At 44.2% G+C, this 16,871-nt stretch overlaps 1 protein-coding gene across 10 annotated transcripts in view, besides 1 other annotated feature; it reads left to right on the top strand.

Moving 5' to 3' along the window:
* The window catches only part of AK7 (adenylate kinase 7), a 97,300-nt gene that overhangs the window by 76,448 nt on the left and 3,981 nt on the right, over window positions 1-16,871 (top strand). For 4 of the 10 annotated variants that reach the window (XM_006720021.3, NM_152327.5, XM_006720022.3 and 1 more), the window contains 4 exons: window positions 2,903-3,031; window positions 4,112-4,180; window positions 9,890-10,087; window positions 14,424-14,644. In XM_006720021.3, the coding sequence (XP_006720084.1) occupies window positions 2,903-3,031; window positions 4,112-4,180; window positions 9,890-10,087; window positions 14,424-14,644 (617 nt within the window). The remainder of the gene's footprint in view (window positions 1-2,902; window positions 3,032-4,111; window positions 4,181-9,889; window positions 10,088-14,423; window positions 14,645-16,871) is intronic. The other 6 variants (NM_001350888.2, NM_001350890.2, XM_047430913.1 and 3 more) reach the window with 2 other exon arrangements.
* Window positions 5,463-5,663: a silencer, noted in NCBI's record as "peak2245 fragment used in MPRA reporter construct". NCBI's record gives its function as "represses an SCP1 promoter by STARR-seq MPRAs in K562 erythroleukemia cells {active_cell/tissue: K562}" and the evidence as "EXISTENCE:reporter gene assay evidence [ECO:0000049][PMID:32103011]".

A 16,871-nucleotide genomic window follows, 5' to 3' on the forward strand; every position in this document is an offset into this window, starting at 1 on the left:
CGTGAGCCACCACGCCCGGCCTGCACTCTTTCCTTTGTGAAATCACTGCTTGCTGTTTGGTCATCATCAGTTAAGACAGTACAGTTTCCTGGGGATGAGGGGACAGAAGCCAGGTTGTCATCTCAAATGCCGTCCCTCACATTCCCACCACTGCTCAGGGGAGCAGCTCTCTATTTTTAAACATGTTTTAGTAATTATGAATATGTGTTCATATGAACATTTTAAATATTACTGGCATTTGAAAGATACATTTAATTTTTTTTTTTTTTAGAAAAAGCAGGATGACATTTTTAAAAGCTATGTAGGAGGGCTGTGCTCATTCATTTTCAAACAGAAAGCGCAGTTGCCTGCCATACAGCTGAACCCTGGCCAAAGGTCATGAGATTATCTCTAAGAGATCACATTTCTCAAGAGAAAGGCACTTGGACTGGGTCCTTTGTGTACTGGGTCATGCCTTGTAAGCATCCCATAATTACCAAAAAATGCTGCTGGAGGTCCCTTCTTAATTACTGAGCACTTTCGTTCCGAATCAAGCAGAAATGAGTGGCTAAGCTCAGGGCCTGAAATAAACTGAGGGAGGCATTGAAGGGAATTGCAGCTAGATTTCTAGATTAAGTGCCTTTAATTTAACAACAAAGCCTTTGAAAAATGAAAATAGACTTAGGCCGGGGGCGGCGGCTCATTCCTGTAATCCCAGCACTTTGGGAAGCTGAGGCAGGTGGATCACCTGAGGTCAGGAGTTTGAAACCAGCCTGACCAACATGGCAAAACCCTGTCCCTACTAAAAAATACAAATAAAATTAGCTGGGCGTAGTGGTGCACACCTGTAATCCCAGCTACTCGGGAGGCTGAGGCATGAGAATCTCTTGAACCCAGGAGACAGAGGTTGCAGTGAGCCAAGATTGCACCACTGCACTCCAGCCTGGGTAACGGATGAGACTCTGTCTCAAAAAACAAAAAAGAAAATAGACGGCTTAAATAAAACCAGATTTAGAATATTAGTGAATCCCTTGACACGTTTTTATTTGGCTTCATTTCTTGGCACCCCTGTGAACCTTACTGGGAAGTAATGTAGAATCATTCAGAGGAATTTCATTATGTTAAATAATACTTAAGATCTTTTTTTGTCTTAGCCATAATATTTAAATTTCTGAAAGACAGTTATTTTCGGAACCTGCTACTGCCTAATGGATGGTGTGACACTGAAAGGTAGAAGAAAGGAGAGGTGTTTTGTGTTTTGTTTTTTGTTTTTTGTTTTTGAGATGGAGTTTCACTCTTGTTGCCCAGGCTAGAGTGCAATGGTGCGATCTTGGCTCACTGCAACCTCCGCCTCCCGGGTTCAAGCGATTCTCCTGCCTTAGCCTCTCGAGTAGCTGGGATTACAGGCATGTGCCACCACGCCCGGCTAATTTTGTATTTTTAGTAGAGATGAGAGTTTCTCCATGTTGGTCAGGCTGGTCTCGAACTCCCAACCTCAGGTAATCCACCCACCTTGGCCTCCCAAAGTGCTGAGATTATAGGTGTGAGCCACCGCGCCCGCCCGGGAGAGGTGTTTTAATTAGATCAGTTTATTGTCATTGATAGAGTAATAAAAAAGAAGCCTGAAATTATTTATTTTACATTATGTAAAATGAGGGGGGAGGAGGAGGGAAGGAAGAGGGGGAGGATGAGAAGGCGGAGAAGGATGAGGAGGGAGAGGAGGAGGGGGAGTCACTGATAAGGTAAAAGAATAATAGATTCACTGATAAGGTAAAGGAATAGTACAAACTCTGGAAAGAGCTTTGAAGATCAATTTCCCTAACTTGTCAAACTTACATTACTATAATGTACACATTAAGCAAGGTAAGGATGGGGCTGCGTTTTGAACATTGTAGCTGTTCAATAATTATGATGGAGTGATGGATATTGTGGTGGAGTTGCATCATGTTGTTATTAAACCACTGTGCCAGTTTTAGAACAAACTCCTCCCTCCTCATCCTTCCCAAGCAGTGCCAGGAACCCAGTGTCAGGGCTTGAGAGGGAACTGTCCAGTGGGGCTGAGGTCAGAAATGCCAACTGGAAAAGACACGGAGAAGGGAGCCGTGTTCTTTTCTGAAGCATTACAGAGAAAAGTGCCTTTGAGGGTCGGGTCAAGTTTGATTGTTAGTCAAATCCAGCACCTTCTTTTAGTAAATTATGTGCTGGCAACAAACATGAATGCTATCTCACAATTCTCACAACAGAAGCATTTATTATTGTATAGTAAGGTTACAGAGGTGTAATATCAAAACAGAAACCCTGCGGGCGGGCGGAGCTCTCTGCATTACTCCAGTTGCTGCTCCTCAATCAATTTCACCAAAAATTGGGATTACAGAACACTTTGAAAGTGCAGACATCGGCACTCGCCCATGCTCTTTCTTGCAGACAAGTTCACTGGGTTCTCCTACATTACTGTGCATTAGAATTCACATCATGTTCAAAGTACAAAATCACATATTTTTTACTTTAAGGGCCAAAATGTAATCCCAACATTTTGGGAGGCCAAGGTGGGAGGATTGCTTGAGGCCAGGAGTTCAAGACTAGCCTGGGCAACATTGCAAGATCCTTTCTCTACAAAACGTTTAAAAATCAGTGGGGCATGGTGGCAAGCGCCTATAGTCCCAGCTACTTGGGAGGCTGAGGTGGGAAGATTGCAGAGCCTGGGAGGCTGAGACTGCAGTGAGCTATGACCACACCACTGCATTCCAGCCTGGGCGACAGAGTGAGACCCCGTCTCTTTAAAAAAAAAAAAAAAAAAAAAGCAAAATAGGGATTTCCAATAGTACCTTTGACTACACAACAATTTTTGAGATAACTTTAAAACAACTCTTACTTAGAATGTGATACATTATAAGTAATATATACATATATGTTTTTTTATCAGGTCAACTAGACGATCAATATATAATTAGATTTATGAAAGAAAAGCTAAAATCAATGCCTTGCAGGAATCAAGGTTATATTTTGGATGGATTCCCAAAGACCTATGATCAAGCAAAAGACCTGTTCAATCGTAAGTTTGAGTGTTCTATTTTGAGTATTTATATTCAGATAAGTTGCAACTTTATTGTTCAGAGAAGTAGTCACTCAATTAAAGTAAACAGAAAACTAGAGAGACTATTTATTTTTGAGCTTTGGCTCACCTTTCTTTACGTAGCTTTTTTTTTTCTTTTTTTTTCCCCCTGGATGGTGGCTCAAGGTGCATAGCCTTTTACAAATTTTTTAAAATTTTATTTTATTGTATTGTGGCACAAATACTTAACACGAGATCTGCCCTCGGAACAAGCTTTTAAGTGTGCGATACATTATCGTTGGCTATAGGCACTGTGATGTTCAGCACACCTCTAGAGCTTATGCATCTTGCCTGATTAAAACTTTACGCCTGTTGATTAGTAACTTTTGTTTTTTCCCCTCCCCAGCCCCTGGCAACCACCATCCCACTCTTTCATTCTTTGAATTTGACTACTCAAGTTCCCCATGTAAGTGGAATCATGTAGCATTTGTCTTTCTGTCACTGATTTCACTTAGCATAATGTCCTCAAGGTTCATCCTTGTTGTTGCATATAGCAGAATTTCCTTTAAAAAAAAAATAGACCATCCGTCACCCAGGCTGGAGCACAGTGATATATACAATCATAGTTTACTGCAGCCTTGACCTCCTGGGCTCAAGTGGTTTTCCTGCCTCAGTCTCCCGAGTAGCTGGGACTACAGGCGTGCATGACCACGCCCGACTAATTTAAAAATGTTATGGAGGTTTCACCCTGTTGCCAGGTTGATCTCTGAACTCCTGGCTTCAGGTGATCCTACTGCCTTGGCCTCCCAAATTGTTGGGATTACAGGTGTGAGCCATGATGCCCAGCCATTTCCTTCTTTTTAAAGGCTGAATAGTATTCTGTTGGATGTATATACTACATTTTCTTTATCCATGCATCTATCAATGTACATTTAGTTTGTGAGACTATTTCTAAAATACATGTGCTATTTATGGCTAGTTTTCATTAGTGCTTGCTACTTAAGATATTTGGAATTTTTTGCTGTGATCCATAGTAATAATATATTAATAAACACAATGAGGAATATTTTGTTTTCTTAGAGGAAGATGAGGAGGAGGAAGATGATGTCAGAGGCAGAATGTTTCCCTTTGATAAATTAATTATACCTGGTAAGTTTATTTCCCTAAGATCACATTTAAAAGAATGTTCTCTGGGCTGGGCGTGGTGGCTCACGCCTGTAATCTCAGAACTTTGGGAGGCCAAGGCGGGTGGATCACCTGAGGTCAGGAGTTCAAGACCAGCCTGGCCAACATGGCGAAACCCCATCTCTACTAGAAATACAAAAATTAGCTGGGTGTCGTAGCGTGTGCCTGTAGTCCTAGCTACTCGGGAGGCTAAGGCAGGAGAATCACTTGAACCCAGAAGACAGAGATTGCAGTGAGCCGAGATCCTGCCACTGCACTCCAGCCTGGGCGACAGAGACTCTGTTTCAAAAGAAAAGAAGAATGCTGTCTGATATCTCTCTCTTTTCTCTTTGTTTTCCCCGGTAACTGGGACTACAGGTGCCTGCCACCATGCCCAGCTAATTTTTTTTTTTTTTTTGAGACTGAGTCTTGCCCTGTTGCCCAGGCTGGAGTGCAGTGGCGCGATCTCAGCTCACTGCAAGCTCTGCCTCCCGGGTTCACGCCATTCTCCTGCCTCAGTCTCCCCAGCAGCTGGGACTACAGGCGCCTACCACCATGACTGGCTAATTTTTTTGTATTTTTAGTAGAGACGGGGTTTCACCATGTTAGCCAGGATGGTCTCGATCTCCCGACCCACCCGCCTTGGCCTCCCAAAGTGCTGGGATTACAAGTGTGAGCCACCTTGCCCAGGCTCTTTTTTTTTTTTTTTAACTACTTCTTAAGGAGCAGGGCTACACCATAGGCAGTGTGCCTAGAGTAGCCCAATATCCCTTTTGTGCCAAAAGAATCTTTTTGAGTTTAATAAAGTAGGATTTTTTTTTTTAGGAAAAATATTAAAAGACATTCTCAAGCATAAACTTGCAAACTAGAGAATGCACCAACGGATAAACATGAGGAATATTAAATTGCTGAAATGAATAGAAATCCCTGTGGGAACGTTGTCTTCCACTGCTCTCTCCTGTAACAAAGCAAAAGGTAGCAAATCTGCTGATGGCTTGACTTCGTGAGTCATGTAGCCTCCTTCCCTGCCCTGGTTTTGGTGCTAACCGTGCCCTCATCTCTTCCAAAAGACATTCAGCTTCTGACTTGAGATTGCACAGGTCAAAAGCTTTTCAGTTCACTCTTAACTCCACAGTGGTTTTATTCTATCACATATTTACACAGGGATTTCACAAAGTACTCTTGAAAGCAAAGCATAAGCAATTTATCGTACACAACAGGATTTACTTAGTACTGAGCAGGCATTTCTTGTGACCTTCCTGTAAACGTTAAAAAGTGTTGTTGTTTTTAGTCAGTTTGCTTGAGGTAGATATTCATAGGGAATCATTTTGGGTCATATGATCGCTAGAAGAAAAGCTATTTTCAGCAACTTAGGACAAGGCTGTAACTGAAAAGGGCCTGCCTGCTCACTGGTATCAAGTCCCCGAGGAAGGCAGCTTGTGGCTGTTTTCTTCTCTTGGTCCAGCACAGTTTGCAGAGAAGCTTCTGGAAGGACTGAGACCACCAGATAGCAGTCATCCTTGGGGATGGATATTTATTGTTTGCCTGTGGGCTAAGTTGATTGGCCAGACACAGTGCCTGTAATGCCAGCACTTTGGAAGGTCAAGGTGGGAGGATCTCTTGAGCTCAGGAGTTAGAGACCAGCCTGGGCAACATAGTGAGACCTCATATCTACTAAAAAAAAAAAAAAAAAAAAATCAAAAAAATTAGCTGGGGGTGGTGGCATGCACCTGTAGTCCCAGCTACTTGGAAGGCTGAGGTAGGAGAATCACTTGAGTGTGGGAAGTCAAGGCTGCAGGTGCCCTGATTACACCACTGCACTCCAGCCTGGGCAACAGAGCAAGAACCGGTCTCAAAAAAATTAATTAAAAAAATAAAATAAAAAGTAAAGTTTGTTCATCTACTTTATTGTTGATTATTAAATTCTAGGTAGGTGTGTCCAGTGCATTTTGTTTATCACTTCTAGGCAATATTCACTCATTGCAAACTCTGTGCTAAATCATAACACCCATAACATCCAGGCAGCTGGATACATTTCAGTTCAACTGGCAATTGGTCGTGCACAATTTGTCATGTGCCAGGCACTCATTGAACCTTTCCACAATCCTGCAAGGCAGGAATTACACCCATGTTTACCCAATCCAGAAGCTAAAGCCTAGAGATTTATGCAAGTCCACTCACTAGTAAATGGTAGGGGGATTAAATTAAAACTCAGGTCTTCTCACTCCACTGCCTCCAAAACAATTAATGAAACCTGCCTGTGAGATAAGGAAATGGAAGCACAGAGGTCAAGTGACCAAGGACTCTTAAACGTAGGCCACTGGACTTTCCATTCTTTGTTGGACACAGTGCAAACACGTCTAAGACGTAATCTATTTGGAACGTTAATCTGTTGTTAGCAAACTTTTCAGAAATTGTCTTTATTTTCTATTTCTCTGAAAGAAAGTAGGGCATTGTTTCATTCGTACTTGTAGGATTTTAATTGAGGGAGGGAACTGAATGGTGACATAGAGAGGTCAATGCCATTGAAATAATTTACACTTAGGATTCCCTAGAGATGGGGGCACATGGGGAATGCCAGGTTTGGTCAGGCGGCAGAAGCAAGAACAAGGGGAAAGGTCTAGATCAATGCCGTTGTTGGGGTTTCTTTGGGAAAGCCAAGACAGGCCACAGTGAACCGTTCGGGACTGGCTAGTTTGAGTTTACGGGTGGTCTCTAGTTGCCTGGGGCCTGGTCCTGGGATGATTTAGGGCAAGGGAAATACTGGCTTGCTGTGTGAGATTAGATAAATGGATTGAGTGGCTTGCATAGGAGGGGCATTCCCAAGCAAGTTGTTACTATCTTTAGGTATTGGCTAGGCCTGGGAAGGACAGCAGTCTCTCCCCAGATCTGTAAGGCCCCCCTGAAGATGTCAAAACAGACCAGGTGTGGTGGCTCACGCCTGCAATTCCAGCACTTGGGGAGGCTAAGGCAGGAGGATTGCTTGAGTCCAGGAGTTGGAGACCAGCATGGGCAATATAGCAAGACCCCCATCTCCACACACACAAAAACATTCTTAATTAGCTGGGTGTGGTGGCATGTGCCTGTGGTCCCAGCTACTCAGGAGGCTGAAGTGGGAGGATCTCTTGAGCCCAGGAGGTCAAGGCGGTGGTGAGCCTTGATCATGCCACGGCACTTCAGCCTGGGTGACAGTGAGACCCTGTCTCTTAAAAAAAAAAAGAAAAAAAAAAAGAAATCAAAGCATAAGATACAGAAAATAAAAGAAACACATTCCAATCTATGGTAATACAGTTCTAGATGGTATTCTCTCCCATTGAGCAACCATTGCATTTTACCACTGCTGTTAGCCTATGTCCAGTTTGATTCTTTGAAGACCTCTTGGTTGAAGGAGATAAGTTTAAAGTTGTACCTACCTGATTAATATTTGGAAATTTGTTAAAACATAGCTTTTTCAGCCCAGCGCAGTGGCTCACACCTGTAATCCCAGCAATTTGGGAGGCCGAGGTGGGCAGATCACCTGAGGTCAGGAGTTCAAGACCAGTCTGGCCAACATGGTGAAACCCCATCTCTACTAAAAATATAAAATTAGCCAGGCACGGTGGTGCACGCCTATAATCCCAGCTACTTGGGAGGCTGAGGCAGGAGAATCACCTGAACCCGGGAGGCAGAGGTTGCAGTGAGCCAAGATCGCGCCACCGCACTCCAGCCTGGGGGACAAGAGCGAGACTTTGTCTCAAAAAAAAAAAAAAAAAAACCATAGATTTTTCATGTGATTCCAGATAGCCAAATACAGTGACCTCCTTGTTATCTACGGTCTTACCAAGCAGAAATCTATTACTCGCTATCCACAGTTAGCCAGTGCAAGGACAATAGATGTTCTGAATAACTGTCTTGAGATACTGCAGAATCTTGAAGTTCTCTGAGTCATAAAGAGAATGAACATTTTTTTAAAAATCATCTAGTGAGAAGTATATTTTATCATATTAAAAATCTTTGAAAATTGGAAAGCCAAGGATGTTACTCATTATTTGATTAACTGGAATCTTCCACCTCCTGATCAGCCTGGAAGAAAGATAGAATATATTTTTGAAATTCATAGATTATTAACATAGTTCATACATTTTCTAACAAATGAGTATCATGTTAGGGAAAAATCTAAAAAGAAAATAAGTTTTCATATAGATGTCCGACATCATAGAGCTTAAATGGATTCAATTTTCAGCGAATCTGTTGACATCCTTTTGATTTCAGTACCGTACCAGCATTTGAGGCTTCATATGTCTACCTTCCTTTTCAAAAGGCAGCCACTCATGAAAATCATGACAATCAAATGGTAAAAGATGAGCAAAAAATAGGAACAACTTACTTGCGAAAACACCTCTTGTATGCAGAATGGAGGTAGTATCAAACTATTATGAATTTATAGGATCTTATTCCACACGCTGTCTCAGCCTTTGTTTTCACAGTTAACATCTGCAGCAGATGATGTTCACACATGTCCACATGCCTCGGGGACACACCTCCTGTGGGCTTTCCCCATTACACTTACCTTTTTCACCCACTCAAGGAAGCTTATTAGAATGCAAGTAAACGAGAATGGCATTATGATGTTATAAGCCAATACAATTTTAGAACAAAAATCAAATCATTCCCAAGTTCTGTTGAGCTCTAATAGATAGCAAGCTATTTGTGATGCACCCAGACACTGATCTGGGCACCAGTATACCCTGCTCCTGTAGTTGAGAACATCTAAGAATCACAACTCACCTTGGAAAGTTTATTTCACTGATCCACACTTAAATCTCTCATTCACTCAACAATTATCTATTGAATTTGTACTAGAAGCTGGAGGAACAGCTGCTTTCACAGTTTAAAAGAAAATCACAGATGGGTAAAATGGTCATCATTATTAACATGATCTGTGTGTTGAATTTGATAAGTGCTGACCATAACATGTTGTACGTAAGTGTTTCATAGCCAATGGCATTGATGAAAGAGCTGGATCCATGAAAATTCCAAGGGGAGTTCCCATTTTATTAATTTGGCAAACTGGCCATCAAAGCATTTTGCTTGTAGCCATAGCTCTCTTTGGAAGCCTGTGATAATTGTGCTGGATAGGAGGCAGCGTGAGGCCAGGAGCCGTGGCTTATCCCTGCCAGCACTTTGGGAGGCCAAAGCGGGAGGATTGCTTAAGGCAAGAATTTGAGATCAGCCCGCACATAGTAAGACCTTGTATCTCTCTAAAATAAATATACATACATATAAGTATGTATTTTTTAAAAAAGAGAAAAGAGACAATGTGAAAATTAACTAGGAAGCTGATATCACAGGGTTATCTGAGATTTGCTACTTATGATTTCTGCTGCTTTTATTAGTTAGAAAGGGAGGAAGGAAGGAAGGAAGGACAGAGGGAGGGCGGGGGAAGGGAGGGAGGAAGGAAGGAAGAGAGGGAGGGGGGAAGAAAGGGAAAATAATAGATTGCACAAAATACTAATTGGGCCTCATAGGGTGGTCTCTGGAAATGGGGTGATTTTCATCTATTTATCCTCCATGAGAGGCAGCAAAGCCAATTGGACAGGCTATTTGTGGCAACAGGAGGTCTTGGCTGGTAACCAGGGGGCCATGCGTTCTCCAGCACCCTGCTAGTTAGCTGCGCTGTATTGTGCCAACTCTGGAGTCTGTCCTTCTCCCCAGAATTCGTTTGTGCACTGGATGCTTCGGATGAGTTTCTGAAGGAGCGTGTGATAAACCTTCCTGAGAGCATCGTGGCGGGGACCCACTACAGCCAAGACCGATTCCTCCGGGCTCTGAGCAACTACCGGGACATCAATATCGACGATGAGACTGTCTTCAACTATTTTGATGAACTTGAAATTCACCCGATACATATTGGTATGAAATGAATTCAAGGATAATGTGAATGTCCAGGACCCCCAGCAAAGCTTGGTGCAGGTCTAGCTGTAATTGTGGGGCTGGGGGGAGGGTGGGGAGTGTAATCATGGGTTGGGGCACAGGAAGCCATGAAATACACAGGGCACTCCTCCTGGGGAGTCATTCTATGTGGGGATTTGGTGGTGGGAGGGTGTTATTATCGTATGAGAATTTATGGATATATTGTGAAGTCAAATGACAAATCCTTTTTTTTTTTTTTGTGGGGGGATGGAGTCTCGCTCAGTTGCCCAAGCTGGAGTGCAGTGGTGCAATCTTGGCTCACTGCAACCTCTGCTTCCCGGGTTCAAGCAATTCTCCTGCCTCAGCCTCCCAAGTAGCTGGAACTACAGGCACATGCCACCAGGCCTGATTAATTTTTTTTTCTTTTTTTTTGAGATGGAGTCTTGCTCTATTGCCCAGGCTGGAGTGCAGTGGCACCATCTCGGCTCACTGCAAACTCCGCCTCCCGGGTTCACGCCATTCTCCTGCCTCAGCCTCCCGAGTAGCTGGGACTACAGGTGCACACCACAGTGCCCGGCTAATTTTTTTGTATTTTTAGTAGAGACGGGGTTTCACTGTGTTAGCCAGGATGGTCTCGATCTCCTGACCTCGTGATCTGCCCGCCTCGGCCTCCCAAAGTACTGGGATTATAGGTGTGAGCCACCGTGCCTGGCCGACAAACTCTTTTTTTTTTTTTTTTAAAGAAATGTGTGTATGGTGCTGGCTGCTTGGGCCATTCCCCCAGGTTCCTTGGGAGCAGTGTTCTGTCCCTGTTAAATTATTGGGCACTGGTGCTCTTCCAGACCCTTTCCCAGCCTTCTGACTGGCCAGCCCATCCCCGTAGCTACCCAGAAGAGCAAATAGCTCTTCACTGCGTTCCTTCTTGTTTCCTGTAAACACAGCTCTGAGCTTAGCACACAGCAAGCACTCATGATCCCGCATCACGTCAGCCTCATCGTCACCATTATCATTCCTGGCTCCAGTTCTCAGCTTTCACAGCTGCTGCTACTTCCCTTGGCTTGTTGAACCCCTGACCTACCTTTCTGGTTTTCTGGACCTTCGCACGTATTCCTCCTATGGGCTTGGTGAGAAAGAACCAGCTTCTGCCTGGTGGAAGCTTCCTGGCCAGGCCCACACCTTGGGCCTCCAGGGGCTGCTCTCTACCCCCAACTGCCCAATGGGACAGCATTTGAGCCCTGGAGTATCGGGAGGCTTAGTGCTAAGGGATAATGTCAGCAGGAGGCAGGAGAGCTAATTCCAATTGTGGCTGGGCCTCAGTTTTCTCATCTGTGAAATAGGAAAATAATCAGGCTTGCAGGATTGTTACAAACGGTAGAGATGAGAGATACGAAGTGCCTGGCACATTGAAGGAGTTCAACAAGTGGTCATTTTGTTATTCCTACCAACACTAAGGCATAACATGACATACTATTATGAAATAAAAAAATGACTGGGTGCAGTGCCTCACGCCTGTAATCCCTACACATTGGAAGACCAAGGTGGGTGGATCATCTGAGGTCAGGAGTTCAAGACCAGCATGGCCAACATGGTGAAACCCCATCTCTACTAAAAATACACAAATTAGCTGGGCGTGGTGGTGTGCACCTGTAATCCCAGCTACCCAGGAGGCTGAGGCAGGAGAATCATTTGAACCCAGGAGGCAGAGATTGCAGTGAAGTGAGATCATGCCACTGCACTCCAGCCTGGGTGACAGTGAGACTCTGTCTCAAAAAAAAAAAAAGAAATACAAAAACAATTTATAAATCTGCAAATTCTTCTTGTCTGCACCCTCAGAGCAGTGACTGGGTTTTGTCCTCATCTGGACATGTTTCTGCATGTTGGACATGCTTTATATGTAAAAGCTAAGGGTTCTGTACCTCCTAATATGGAAATTAGTTTACATTATTTAGAGAACTAGGAAAGAATGGAGAATACATTTCAGAAAAATAGTGATTGTCATCTTTTCAGTTAGGTCCCAAAAACTGTTTATAGGAAGATCAGGAGAGCCCAGGAGAAATGTTGAGAAAAAAAATAAGTAACAGGGAGGAATGAATGAGTGGCCATTGTGTTCCATCTCATCCTGTGCCCATCTCATTTGGCCTCATCTACAACTGACAACTGGGAGATAATATAAAAGCAGAAGGGAGAAATGTATCCTAAGGATGGGAGATGGGGAGGGCGTCTCACAGCCAGGGATGCAGCCCGGCCTCTGCAATGTCTGGAATGGGGCCCTGGAAAGATGCTGGGAATCACATCCTCTCATCAGCTCTGGACTCTGCTTCTCTCTCAGTGTCTCTTTGTCCTCTCTTTCTTTGGGCCAGTGTACTCTCCCCCTCTGTGGCCTGTGTGGTAGGCTGAGGCCACCCCACACCCCAGAGTTACAATGCTACCCTGGGAGCCAAGGCCAGAGCTGACTTCACTGTGTCCAATCCCACATTCCCTGAAGGGCAACTCTGCTGGTCACAGTTCGGGCTGAGGTGCCCCACCCCAGTCTAATCAGCAGTGGCCCCACTCTGGGGTCAGAGTGGAATATTGCTAGGGGGAATCATTCCCAAGTACCTTCTCAAAGGTGTCCAGTTAGTGATATCAAGGTTGTAACTACTCAGAGTAATCAGGGAGAAATGCATTTATTTATTTATTTATTTATTTTATTTATTCTTTTTGAGACAGAATCTCCCTCTGTCACCCAGGCTGAAGTGCAGTGGCGCAATCTTGGCTCACTGCAACCTCTGCCTCCTGGGTTCAAGCGTTTCTCCTGCCTCAGCCTCCCAAGTAGCTGGGATTACAGGTGTATGCCACATGCCCAGCTAATTTTTGTGTTTTTGGTAGAGACAGGGTTTTACCACGTTGGCCAGGCTGGTCTCAAACTCCTGGCCTCAAGCAATCTGCCCATCTCGGCCTCCCAAAGTTCTGGGATTACAGGCGTGAGCCACCACACCCAGTGAGAAATGCATTTAAATGTCACAGGTCAGGCAATGAGGAGCTACCGATATGACTTTTACCTTTTTTTTTTTTTTTTTTGAGACAAAGTCTTGCTCTGTCACCCAAGCTGGAGTACAGTAGCTCAATCTCAACTCAATGCAACCTCTGCTTCCCGGGTTCAAGTGATCCTCCTGCCTAAGCCTCCCAAGTAGCTGGAACTACAGGTGTGCACCACCACACCAGGCTAATTTTTGTATTTTTAGTGGAGATGGGGTTTCTCCATGTTGGCCAGGCTGGTCTTGAACTCCTGACCTCAACCTACTCGGCCTCCCAAAGTGCTGAGATTACAGGTGTGAGCCACCATGGCCAGCTGTTTTTTGCTTTTTTAAAGGTTTGCTTCTGTTCACCAACCAGTGCACTGGCTCTGCTCCTCCCCTCTTCCCATATTAGAACTTGGTGGTGCTTCTGGTCTAGGTCAAGGTCATACAAACATGGGAGGGGTGGCGGCTCATGCCTGTAATCCCAGCACTATGAGAGGCCAAGGCAGGAGGACTGCTTGAGCCAAAGAGTTCAAGATCAGCCTGGGCAACATGGGGAGACCCTGTCTCTATAAAAACAAAACAAAACAATAAAAAACAAACATGGGAGGGGTGGGCACAGCAGTGACTATGAATGGGCGTGGGGTAAGCAGCTACCCAGAGGAAGGTCTGAAGGGGCTTAGTACCAAAATGTGTCTGCTGCACATCGTTCTCTGCAGACACCTTCCAAGCAGCCCTAAGAGAGTGGCATAGAATTTACCACCTCAGTGACCGTGGAGATCTCAGTATTTATCAATACACCATTTCTCTTTTTCTTCTCTTTGGTCTTGATACTAACATTTTTCAGATATTCTGGAGTCTGGATATTTTTCCTATTCAAGTAGACTCACTGAAATGGTTATTTTTTTATGAATTGAAAATGTATCCCAGTATCATTGATTTTCAGAAAGGTCACCCTGTTTGGCCTCCCACAAGTGCAGGACTTCCTTCTGTAGAAACCTCTGAAAGAAGTGTCCCAGTCTTTGCTTGAATACTTCCAGGCATGGAGAGCTCATTACTTTTCAGGCAATCCATTCCCCCATTCAACCACTCAAATCAAGTCATTGTTAGAACTCATAGACCCAAGTCCAAATTTTCCTACCCACAGCCCTCAGACTCTGGTCTGATATTTGCCCGTGAGAGAAGAAATTCTGAACTATGCTGGCAATTAGAAAAGAAAACCCTATGTGGTAATTTACATAATTGACTATCGCAAGTTTATAGTAATAAAGAATTTTCCCAATTGCAGGCAGGCCTAGAATATAAGTATGTGTTGATCTCTCTCCTGGTATTTAAAGATGTAGGAAAACTTGAAGATGCTCAGAATAGACTTGCTATCAAACAGCTCATCAAAGAGATTGGGGAGCCTCGAAATTATGGTTTAACAGACGAAGAAAAGGCAGAAGAGGAGCGGAAGGCTGCGGAGGAGCGGCTGGCCAGGGAGGCTGCTGAGGAAGCAGAACGCGAGCACCAGGAGGCCGTGGAGATGGCAGAGAAGATAGCTCGCTGGGAGGAGTGGGTGAGTGGTGAGTGTGTTTGTGAGTCTGTGTATCTGTGGAACAGGGGTGCGGTGCCTGGCAAAGCCATTTAGGCCAGTTCCACTTCCCATCCTGCTCTAGGGAAATGTCATGGAAATACCCTAAACAAATTTGTGTTTGCTTTTTGTCATTTGTACCATTTAAAAAAGGATATCCATGGTCTTTTGCTTAGTTTTTTTTTTTTTCTTTTTCTTTTTGTTTGAGACAGGGTCTGGCTCTGTCGCCCAGGCTGGAGTGCAGTGGTGCAATCTTGGCTTACTGCAACCTCTGCCTCCCGGGTTCAAGTGATCCTCCTGTCTCAGCCTCCCCAGTGGCTGGGACTACAGGTGTGCACCACCAAGCCCAGCTCATTTTTCTGTTTTTAGTAGAAATGGGGTTTCACCATGTTGGCCAGCCAGGCTGATCTCAAACTCCTAATCTCAAGTGATCCACCCGCTTCTGCCTCCCAAAGTGCTGGGATTATAGGCATGAGCCACCATGCCCAGCTTGCTTAGTATTAGTAACAAAAACTAGCCATTAGCAGGTGTATTAGTAATACAAATTCCTGTAAATGTGTAACATTTTACTATGCATTGACCTCATGATTTGATTTGATTTTCCTCCATTTACCCATCTAACCTACCCAGGTGGTCAGCTTCTTTCCACCCCTCCTCATTCCCCAAATCACTGAATCTAGTAAGTGATTCTGCTTCCAAAAATAGCACTCTTAGGCTGGGCATGGTGGTTCATACCTGTAATCCCAGCACTTTGGGAGGGTGAGGCTGGAGAATCATTTGAGCTTAGGTATTCAAGACCAGCCTGGGCAACATAGCAAGACCTTGACTCTACTAAATAAAAATTAGCTGGGCATAGTGGCATGCCTGTAGCCCCAACTACTAGGGAGGCTAAGGTGGGAGGATTGCTTAAGCCTGGAGGATTGTTTGATCCTGGGAGACTGAGGCTGCCATGAGCTATGATGATGCCACAGCACTCCAGCCTGGATGACAGAGTGAGACCCTGTCTCAAAAAACAAACACCACCATCACCAAAAATGGCACCCAAATCTGTCCCAAGCTCTCTACTTCTGATCAGGGGCAGTGTTTCTCATCCGAATTACGCAGTGTCTTCTCACTGTCCTCCCCAACTCCACCCTGCTCCATCTCCAGTCTGTTCCTACGCAGCTGCCAGGTGATCCTTCCAAACTGCAGACCCACTATGGCCATTCTCTGCTTACAACTCCTCACAGGCTCTCAATTATCACAATTTGATAAAAATCCAAACTTGTCATTGTGGTCAAGGTCCTTTGTGACCTGGCTGCTTCTGATATTTCCCAATTTCAAACAGTGCACCAATGGTGGTCTTGGTCATCTGCATGACTCATTGCCTCACAGACACCTGGCATCTTTACCAGAAGTTGTCTTTCTAGTGAGGCATTTCCTGGTCTCTGTAAAATTCAATGTCTACCCCTCCCCACAACCTGTCACATCCCCTTTTATACTTTTTAATTTTCCTCTTTGTACTTACTCTACCTATTATATACATTTTATGTATTTATCTTGTTTCTTGCCTTTTCTCTGCACAGAACTTAAGTTACATGAGGACAGGGATGTCTGTGTTGTTCACTACCATATATCCAGTGCCTAGAATAGTGCCTGGCACATAACAGGCACTCAACAAATGGAAAGAAGGAAGGAAAGAAGGGAGAAAGGAAGGAAGAAAGGAGGGATGGAGGGAGGGAGGCAGGCCCAATGCACACATCTTTGGGTGCCTGATTAATCTTCTTAACATAAATTCCTAAAGTTTGCTGGGTCAAACTAGACATGGTTTGAGTTTTGATACATATTTAAAAACTGCCCTCCAGCAATGGTAAACCAGTTTATGTATCATCTAACAGGTGGCTATTTCCCTACACCTTCTCTAAACCTGCTTTCTCAATTTTACTCGCACATGTCAGGCTGATAAAAACTGTTCTCATTGTTTTAATATTCATTTCTCTGATCACTAATCTTACAGCTTTTTCTGTTTGTTAAGCATTTATGTTTCTTCTCATGTTGCGTATTTTCTTTGCCCCTGTTTGGGCTGTGTGACTTTTTCTTATTATTTTGCAAAAAGAACTCCTGATAAACTAGTTCAATAGAAACAGGAACGGCTCCAGTTGGCCTCCCAAGTCGTGCTGCTAGAGATCAAATCCCACTCCACTCTCTCTGTAGGTATGTGGCCTTGTGCAAG

This window comes from Homo sapiens, chromosome 14 (genome assembly GCF_000001405.40).
Source record: "Homo sapiens chromosome 14, GRCh38.p14 Primary Assembly".
Taxonomy (NCBI): Eukaryota; Metazoa; Chordata; class Mammalia; order Primates; family Hominidae; genus Homo; species Homo sapiens.